This window comes from Homo sapiens, chromosome 6, assembly GCF_000001405.40.
Source record: "Homo sapiens chromosome 6, GRCh38.p14 Primary Assembly".
In the NCBI taxonomy this organism is placed as follows: domain Eukaryota; kingdom Metazoa; phylum Chordata; class Mammalia; order Primates; family Hominidae; genus Homo; species Homo sapiens.
Window position 1 is genome coordinate 43,417,273 of NC_000006.12, and position 10,268 is coordinate 43,427,540.

The window sequence follows — 10,268 nt, forward strand, 5'->3', positions numbered from 1 at the left end:
CCCAGCTCTAGCTACACTTGTCCCCTTGCCTTCCAGATAATCAGCTTCTGATAACTGTAGAGAAAAGTATGGGCAGAAAGGAGAAAGTAAGCCAAGAGGGGAGCTGGAAGTCAGGACCTACTGCCTTGGAAAGCCATCGTGCTGTGAGGACTCTTCATCATTCCTCAAGGTACTTCTGCTTCCTTCCCTTACCTCCCACTACCTCCTAGGCACTCCACTGAACCTGCCCACCTCCACTCCTGCCATCTCTGCCCACCTCTACTCCAAGCATCTGGGCATCCACACTCAGTTCACGTCAGATCTGGGTGTAATGAGTTTGAAGTCAGTTTTCAAAGTTGTATTAATAGAATCTTTCTTTGGCCACCCAGGTTTTGGAGAATTTGGTCATCCTTCCACTTTATGGACTGTGAATTATCTTGTGACCAATGATTTCCTCTTCTTCCCACCTAGGTGTTACTTCACTTACCAACAATTCCCCAATTCCCCAAAGTGGAAGGAAGGAGACAAACTTGTACCTTTGACTCATTTTTCAGAAACTATGGTGTAAAGGTCTCTGGGAAACTGGGTGAAACTAAAGGGCCATATGATATTGTTTTCATTTATTTTTATTTTTTAACCTGGAAAATGTGAAATGTGTAGATGCAATGCCATATGATGTTGAGGAATTATTTGTTTTAAATTATCTTTCCTCCTTTATGTCCTGGGCAAATATTAATTAGTTGGTTATTTGTAACCATCAGAAAGGATCCTACTGATGGCATGACTCCTTTGCCAAACTTCTTATCAAAAATAAGGACTCTGGAACGTTATGAAAATAAGAGGTCTATGGCCATACCACCCTGAAAACACGCAATCTTGTCTGATCTTGGAAGCTAAGCAGGGTTGTGCCTGGTTAGTATTTGGGTGGGCTATAGGCTTCTGGCATCCCATTCCCTCTTTCCCTAAAGAAAGAAAGAAAGAAAGAAAGAAAGAAAGAAAGAAAGAAAGAAAGAAAGAAAGAAAGAAAGGAAGGAAGGAAGGAAGGAAGGAAGGAAGGAAGGAAGGAAGGAAGGAAGGAAGGAAGGAAAGAAAGAAAGAAAGAATAAAATGAGGGGACCACATCCTCTCCCACCTACTTCAGAGGGCTGGTAAGACTAGGGTCCTCCCCACCTGAGCACCAGCTTGGGGTGAAAGGGAGGAAGAGGAATCCTTGACAGAAGCATTATCTGTCCCTTTAACCCTCCTTTCAGAAGTGGACTCTCTAAAGAGTCCTCTTGTCCTCTGACTTAACTTTACCTCATCCAGCTGTATACATGCAGTGAAACACACTTTAACTGTCCCAGATACTTGGGAGGCTGAGGCAGGAGGATCGCTTGAGCACAGGAGGTGGAGGCTACGGTGAGCCATGATCATGGCACTACATTCCAGCCTTGATGCATAGAGAAAGACCCTGTCTCAAACCAAAACCAAAACCAAACCAAACAACAACAACAACAACAACAAAAACCCACACATACACTTTAGGGCAGACCTCTGTAGTAGGATGATGTATTTGTGTACAGTAGCTAAAACTTGCAAGTAGCTGCTTACCCAGTCAGCCAGGCGGCCATGGGTTTTGTTTGTTTTTGTTTTTGTTTGTTGTTGTTGTTGTTGTTGAGACGGAGTTTTGCTCTTGTTGCCCAGGCTGGAGTGCAATGGCGCCATCTCAGCTCACCAAAACCTCCAACTCCTGGGTTCAAGCCATTCTTCTGCCTCAGCCTCCCGAGTAGCTGGGATTACAGGCATGCGCAACCATGCCCAGCTAATTTTGTATTTTTAGTAGACGCGGGTTTCTCTATGTTGGTCAGACTGGTCTTGAACTCCTGACCTCAGGTGATCCACCCACCTTGGCCTCCCAAAGTTCTGGGAATACAGGTGTGAGGCACTGTGCCCAGCCATAGCCATGGTTTTTAATGACTAAGAAGAGAAAGGGAGGCTGAGGAGGGTGGATCACCTGAGGTCAGGAGTTCGAGACCAGCCTGGCCAACATGATGAAACTCCGTCTCTACCAAAAACACAAAAATTAGCCAGGTGTGGTGGCGTGTGCCTATAATCCCAGCTACTCGGGAGGCTGAGGCAGGAGAATCACTTGAACCCAGGAGGCGGAGGTTGCGGTGAGTTGAGATTGTGCCATTGTACTCCAGCCTGGGCAACAGAGTGAGACTCCGTCTCAAAAAAGAAAAAAAAAGTTTATTTTTTCTAACTTTCTTATTTTCTTGGGTTAAACTAGAGCTCTTAAATTAACCTGCCTGCCCATCAGCTTTCCAGACTAGGAGTGATTATATAACTTACAATTCTTACTGGGGACCTGAAAGCCCCAACATGCTCTGAAGCCTGGAAAATTAGGTGGAAGAAGGAAAAGATAGAACCTTGGCACAGAGAGAAAAAAAAAGTGGTTAGCATCTGTGCTGGACTAAAAAATATATAAGTATGAATGTTAGATTTTGTGAGTTACATCAGGGACACATGTGCATATCTGCATTTGATGTGTGTGCAATTCTGTGGTCAAGAGGGTGTCTGTGAGTGAGAAGACACATCCAAAGATTTAATGAGAAGAATAATGATTTTGGATCCATCTGCCTTGCTCTCAGTGCCAAGAGGAATGGTAGGCACAGGATTCACTGCAGGGGTAGATGGTGAAAGCAGTCAGAAAGTGATGGGTTGTTAGGGGTACCCCTGAATAATGTCTCCCCACCTAGTTAGCTCTTGCTTGAAATTTAGCAGTTAGCTAACTGTGTCTCTAAGGATTTTAAATTTTTCTTCATACTTTTCTTCATTTCTACATTTTCAAGACATACCCACGACTGGGTAATTTATAAAGGAAAAGAGGTTTAATGGACTCACAATTCCACATAGCTGGGGAGGCCTCACAATCATGGTGGAAGGTGAAGGAGGAGCAAAGGCACATCTTACAAGGCGATAGGCAAGGAGTGCTGAGGGTATTGCAATTATAATCAAAAGGTTATTAATGTAAAATAATATATTTTAGTACTTGACAGTAGTTCAAGTAAAAAGTCTTGAGGGAGGTTCCTGATTCAATTTAGACCATGAGGCCTTGTGTTAAGGGTGTGGATTGGGTATTGCGGATCCTGATCTAGAACATGTGCTGTGATGTGTACTAGTTCTATAATCCTCGGCAAGGCTCTTGACATCTGTGGTGCTTAAACCTGAGTGCAAGAATCACCCAACTGCAGATTGTAGGATCCTCTCCTAGAGAGTCTTATTCAGCAGGTCTAGAGTGGACTTTGGAATCTGCATTTTAATAAGCAGCTCAGGTGACTCCAAAGCAAATGCTATATAGACCACTCTTTGAAACACACTATTCCATATTCTGCAAATCTCCATTTTTAAAAACTTTATTGTGAAAAAATTTCAAATATATGCAGGCATAACTCATTCACCTGCATCTCGCTTTATTGCACTTTGCAGATTACATTTTTACAAATAGAAGGTTTGTGGCAACCTGGTGTTGGGCAAGTCTATCAGCATCATTTTTCCAACAGCGTGTGCTCACTTCGTGTTTCTGTATCACATTTTGGTAATTTTCACAGTATTTCAAACTTTTAATTATCACTCTGTCTGTTATAGTGATCTGTGATCACTGTGATCAGTGATCTTTGATGTTACTATTGTAATTGTTTTGGGATGCCACAAATCACACCTATGTAAGACACAGAAGTTAATAAATATGTGTTCTTTGACTGCACCACCTACCAGCCATTCCCCTATCTCCCTCTTTTTGAGCCTCCTTATTCCCTGACACACACAGTATTAAAATTAGGTCCATTACTACCCTAAAATGAGGCCGGGTGGGTGGCTCACACCTGTAATCTCAGCAATTTGGGAGGCCGAGGCAGGTGGATCACTTGAGGCCAGGAGTTCAAGATCAGCCTGGACAAGGTGGTGAGACCCTGTCTCTACTAAAAATACAAAAAATAGCCGAGTGTGGTGGCATGCTCCTGTAGTCCCAGCTCCTTGGAAGGCTGAGGCAGGAGAATCACTTGAACCCAGGAGGCGGAGGTTGCAGTGAGCTGAGATTGTGCCACTGCACTCCAGCCTGGGCGACAGAGCAAGACTCTATCTTGAAAATAAATAAATAAATAAATAAATAAATAAATAAATAACTCTACAATGGCCTCTAAGTTTTCTTTTTTCTTTTTTTTTTTTTTGAGACGGAGTTTCACTCTTGTAGCCCAGGCTGGAGTACAATGGCATGATCTCGGCTCATTGCAACCTCCACCTCCTGGGTTCAAGCGATTCTCCTGCCTCAGCCTCCCGAGTAGCTGGGATTACAGGCTTGCGCCTCCATGCCTGGCTAATTTTTGTATTTTTAGTAGAGACGGGGTTTCACCATGTTGGCCAGGCTAGCCTCGAACTCCTGACCTCAGGCAATCCACCCACCTCAGCCTCCCAAAGTGCTGGGATTACAGGCGTGAGCCATCGCACCAGGCCCAGTGGCCTCTAAGTTTTCAAGTGAAAGAAAGAGTTGCACATTTCTCACTTAAAAAAAAAAAAAAAAAAAAAAAGCTTCTAGGATGGAGAATGTGCGAAAAAAAAAAAAGCTAGAAATGATCAAACTTAGTGAGGAAGGCATGTTGAAAGCCAACATAGGTCAGAAACTAAGCCTCTTGGCCAAACAGCAAGTTGTGAATGCAAAGGAAAATTTATTGAAGGAAATTAGAAGTGCTATTCCACTGAACACACAAATGATAAGAATGCAAAACAGCCTTATTGCTGATATGGAGAACATTTTAGTGTCTGGATAAGGACCCAACCAACTACAACATCCCCTTAAGCCAAAGTCTAATCCAGAGTAATGCCCTAACTCTTCAATTCTATGAAGACTGAGAGAGGTGAGGAAGCCGCATAGGAAAAGTTTGATGCTATCAGAGGTTGATTCATGACGTTTAAGGAAAGAAGCCATCTCTATAATATAAAAGTGCTAGTGAAGCAGCAAGTGCTGAAGCAGAAGCTGTCGCCAGTTAACCAGAAGATCTAGCTAAGATCAATGATGAAGGTGGCTACATGAAACAACAGATTTCTCACTCTGTCGCCAGGCTGGAGTGCAGTGGTGTGATCTTGGATCACTGCAACCTCAGCCTCCCGGGTTCAAGCAATTCTCCTGCCTCAGCCTCCGGAGTAGCTGGGATTACAGACACACACCACCACGCCCAGCTGATTTTTGTATTTTTAGTAGAGACACAGTTTCACAATGTTGGACAGACTGGTCTCGAACTCCTGATCTTGTGATCCACCCTCCTTGACCTCCCAAAGTGCTGGGATTACAGGCGTGAGACACCACACCTGGATGAAACAACAGATTTTGAAAGTAGATGAAACAGCTTTCTATCAGAAGAAGATGCCATCTAAGACTTTCATAGCTAGAGAGGAAAAGTCAATGCCTAGCTTCAAAGCTTCAAAGGACAGGCTGACTCTCTTGTTAGGTGTTAATGCAATTGGTGACTTTAAGTTGAAATTAATGCTCATTTACTATTCTGAAAATCCTAGGGCTCTTAAGAATTATGTTAAAGCTATTTTTTTTTTTTTTGGAGATGGTGTCTTGCTCTGTCACTCAGGCTGCAGTGCAGTAGCATAATCTTGGCTCACTGCAACCTCCACCTCCCGGGTTCAAGCAATTCTCCTGCCTCAGCCTCCCGAGTAGCTGGGATTACAGGCACGCACCACCACACCCAGCTAATTTTTGTATTTTTAGTAGAGACAGGGTTTCGCCATGTTGGCCAGGCTGATCTCAAATTCCTGATCTCAAGTGATCTGCCTGCCTCGGCCTCCCGAAATGGTGGGATTTCAGGCGTGAGCCACCACACACAGCCAAATCTACTTTATCTGTGCCTTATAAATGGAACAACAAAGCCTGGATGACAGCACATCTGTTTATAACATGGTCTATTGAATATTTTAAGCCCACTTTGGAGGACTACTTCTCAGAAAAAAAGATTCCTTTCAAAATGTTACCGTTTATTGACAATGCATCCAGTCATTCAGGAGCTCTGATGGAGATGTATAAGGAGATGACTGTTGTTTTTATGCCTGTTAACACAACATTCAGACTGGGCATGGTGGCTCATGCCTGTAATCCCAGCACTTTGAGAAGCCAAGACGGCAGATCACTTGAGGTCAAGAGTTCTAGACCAGCCTGGCCAAATGGTGAAACCCGTCTCTACTAAAAATACAAAAATTAGCCAGGTGTGGTGGCCCACACCTGTAATCCCAGCTACTTGGGAGGCTGAGGCAGGAGAATCACTTGAACCTGGGAGGCAGAGGTTGCCGTGAGCCAAGATCACGCCACTGCACTCTAGCCAGGGCAGCAGAGTGAGACTCCATCTCAAAAACAAACAAAAAAAGAAACGAAAAAAACTACAACATCCATTCTGCAGTCCACGGATCAAGGAGTAATTTCAACTTTAGAGTATTTTATTATTATTATTATTTATTTATTTTGAGATGGGAGTCTTGCTCTGTCACCCAGGCTGGAGTGCAGTGGCATGGTCTCAGCTCCCTGAAACCTCTGCTTCCCAGGTTCAAGCAATTCTCCTGCCTCAGCCTCCCAAGTAGCTGGGATTAAAGGTACACACCATCATGCCTGGCTAAGTTTTGTAGTTTCAGTAGAGCTGGGTTTTCCCCATATCGGCAAGGCTGGTCTTGAACTCCTGACCTCAGGTGATCTGCCTGCCTTGGCCTCCCAAAGTGCTAGGATTACAGGCGTGAGCCACTGCGCCTGGCCTCAAGTATCATTTTAGAGACAGGGTCTCACTCTGTTGCCCAGGCTAGAGTACAGTGGCCCAATCATAGTTCACTGCAACCTTAAACTCTTGGGCTCAACCCATCCTCCCACCTCAGCCTCCTGAGTAGCAGTGACTACAGGTGGGCACTGCCATGCCCGGCTAATTTTTTATTTTTATTTTTGTAGAGATGAGGTCTTGCTATGTTGCCCAGGCTGGTCTCAAACTTCTGGCCACAAGCAATCCTCTCACCTTGGCCTCCCAAAGTGCTAGCATTAGAAGTGTGAGCCACTGTGCTTGGCCCAAGTATTATTTAGGAAATACATTCCATAAGGCTATAGCTGTCATAGACAGTGATTCCTCTGATGGATCTGGACAAAGTAAATTTAAAACCCTCTGGAAAACATTCACCACACTAGATGCCATTAGGAATATCTGTGAGCCAGGCATGTTGGCTCATGTCTGCAATTCCAGCACTTTGGGAGGCTGAGGCAGGAGGATGGCTTGAGGCCAGGAGTTTGAGACCAGCTTAAGCAACATAGTGAGACCCTGCCTCCATTAAAAAAAAAAGCGCTCTCTCTCCCCCCTCCCCCTCCCTCTCCCTCTCCCCACGGTCTCCCTCTCCCTCTCCCCACGGTCTCCCTCTCCCTCTCTTTCCACAGTCTCCCTCTGATGCCGAGCAGAAGCTGGACTGTACTGCCGCTATCTCGGCTCACTGCAACCTCCCTGCCTGATTCTCCTGCCTCAGCCTGCCGAGTGCCTGGGATTGCAGGCGCGCGCCGCCACGCCTGACTGGTTTTCATATTTTTTTTGGTGGAGACGGGGTTTCGCTGTGTTGGCCGGGCTGGTCTCCAGCTCCTAACCGTGAGTTATCTGCCAGCCTCGGCCTCCCGAGGTACCGGGAATGCAGACGGAGTCTCATTCACTCAGTGCTCAATGTTGCCCAGGCTGGAGTGCAGTGGCGTGATCTCGGCTGGCTACAACCTCCACCTCCCAGCCGCCTGCCTTGGCCTCCCAAAGTGCCGAGATTGCAGCCTCTGCCTGGCCGCCATCCCGTCTAGGAAGTGAGGAGCGTCTCTGCCCGGCCGCCCATCGTCTGAGATGTGGGGAGCGCCTCTGCCCCGCCGCCCCGTCTGGGAGATGAGGAGCGTCTCTGCCCGGCCGCCCCGTCTGAGAAGTGAGGAGCCCCTCCGCCCAGCAGCCGCCCCGTCTGAGAAGTGAGGAGCCCCTCCGCCCGGCAGCTGCCCTGTCTGGGAAGTGAGGAGCGTCTCCGCCTGGCAGCTGCCCCGTCCGGGAGGTGGGGGGCAGCCCCCGCCCGGCTAGCTGCCCCGTCCAGGAGGTGGGGGGGGGCGCCTCCGCCCGGCCAGCTGCCCTGTCCTGGAGGTGGGGGGCGCCTCTGTCCGGCCGCCCCTTCTGGGAAGTGATGAGCCCCTCTGCCCGGCCGCCACCCCATCTGGGAGGTGTACCCAACAGCTCATTGAGAACGGGCCATGATGACGATGGTGGTTTTGTCGAATAGAAAAGGGGGAAATGTGGGGAAAAGATAGAGAAATCAGATTGTTGCTGTGTCTGTGTAGAAAGAAGTAGACATAGGAGACTCCATTTTGTTCTGTACTAAGAAAAATTCTTCTGCCTTGGAATGCTGTTAATATATGACCTTACCCCCAACCCCCTGCTCTCTGAAACATGTGCTGTGTCCGCTGAGGGTTAAATGGATTAAGGGCGGTGCAAGTGCTTTGTTAAACAGATGCTTGATGGCAGCATGCTCGTTAAGAGTCATCACCACTCCCTAATCTCAAGTACCCAGGGACACAAACACTGCGGAAGGCCGCAGGGTCCTCTGCCTAGGAAAACCAGAGACCTTTGTTCACTTGTTTATCTGCTGACCTTCCCTCCACTATTGTCTTATGACCCTGCCAAATCCCCTTCTGCGAGAAACACCCAAGAATGATCAATAAAAATAAATAAATAAATAAATAAAAAACTGTGATTCATGGGATTCATGGGAGGAGGACAACGTATATCAACATTAACAGAAGTTTGGAAGAAGCTGATTCCAACCTTCACGGATGGACCTTCAAGACATCAGTGGAGGAAGTAACTGCAGATGTGATGGAAACAGCAAGTGAATTAGAATTAGAAGTGGAGCCTGGCCAGGTGCAGTGGCTCACACCTATAATCCCAGCACTTTGGGAGGCCAAGGCAAGCGCATCACCTGAGGCCAGGAGTTCAAGACCAGCCTGGGCCAGGTAGCAAGACTCTGTTAATTAATTACTAAAGATTGTGAAATGCAAACCTACATCTCTTAGTTTTTAAAAATAGGAAAATTAATTCTTGACGTTGAGGGATATGGGGCTTCTTACTGAGATTAAGTGGGATAACCATAATTGTCATTTGTTTAGCTTTTCTTCTTCAAGCACTGTACACACCTATGTAAAGGCGGATACCAACACCATGCCTGACAAACATAATAAAATAAAGATGCAGAAGTAACCTGCCCAACATCCCTCTGCTAAAAGCATTCAAACCCAGGTCCGTATAATTATAAAGGTTATGTTCTTCCCACTGCTTCCTTAAAAGATTTATTGGAGGACTACCCTAGGCAAAGCACTTGCCCTAAGCACTCTAAATTAATTATTCAACTCTCTCAACAGTACTTTAGTATTGGTATTGTCCCTGTTGTACAAATAAAGAAGTTGAGGCTCGGCCGGGGTGGTGGCTCACGCCTGTAATCCCGGCTCTTCGGAAGGCCAAGGCGGACGGATCACGAGGTCAGGAGATCGAGACCATCCTTGCCAACATGGTGAAACCCCGTCTCTACTAAAAATACGAACAAAAAAATTGGCTGGGCGTGGTTGCGCGCGCCTGTAGTCCCAGCTACTCGGGAGGCTGAGGCAGGAGAATCGCTTTAACCCGGGAGGCGGAGGTTGCAGTGAACCGAGATTGTGCCACTGCACTCCAGCCTGGTGACAGAGCGAGACTCCGTCCCCCCCCCAAAAAAAAGTTGAGGCTCAAAAAAGTTAGGTAACTTGTCCAAGGTCATGCAGCCCTAGAATAATAAGGGAAAACAGTGTGTCCCAAAATGGCATTATTTGTCCGTGGGGCAGGTATGTTTGAATTTCCATCCATCCATCTATCTATCTGAGACTGGGGTCTCGCTATGCTGCTTGGACTGTTCTCGAACTCCTGGGCTCAGGCCATCCTCCTGGGATCTACCGGCGCGCAGAGACTACGGGCGCGCAGGGACTACCGAGGCGCGCAACCGTGCCCGGCTCCCCACCTCTTCAAGAAATGGAGATTGCAATGCTTGTGCCAACTAGTAAGCTTACACAGTTGTGAGCGAATACTCCACGTGAGAGGTTATAAATGACGTTGCACTAAGGGAGGGATGGATCCTTAACGCAAGTCAGGCCACAAAAGCGTACCAAAACGCAACTGTGCGTCTGCACCAGCGCGCCTGCGTGCAAAGGCCAGCCGAAGCAGAGAGCAGTGCACATGCGTGCAGCTACC

The 10,268-nt window shown here is 46.9% G+C and overlaps 1 long non-coding RNA gene across 3 annotated transcripts in view, besides 1 other annotated feature; it reads left to right on the forward strand.

Moving 5' to 3' along the window:
• Nucleotides 1-8,742, forward strand: part of LOC105375065 (uncharacterized) — a 34,842-nt gene extending 26,100 nt beyond the window's left edge. Inside the window, exons 5-6 of one of the 3 annotated variants that reach the window (XR_007059585.1) lie at nt 37-169; nt 7,421-8,742. This is a non-coding gene — a long non-coding RNA (uncharacterized LOC105375065). Of the gene's footprint in view, nt 1-36; nt 983-7,420 lie in introns of those variants that run through there. The other 2 variants (XR_001744123.2, XR_007059584.1) reach the window with 2 other exon arrangements.
• Nucleotides 8,223-8,744: an enhancer, noted in NCBI's record as "NANOG-H3K27ac hESC enhancer chr6:43393233-43393754 (GRCh37/hg19 assembly coordinates)". NCBI's record gives its function as "activates a minimal SCP1, AML or CMV promoter by ChIP-STARR-seq in primed H9 embryonic stem cells {active_cell/tissue: H9 hESC(primed)}" and the evidence as "EXISTENCE:reporter gene assay evidence [ECO:0000049][PMID:30033119]".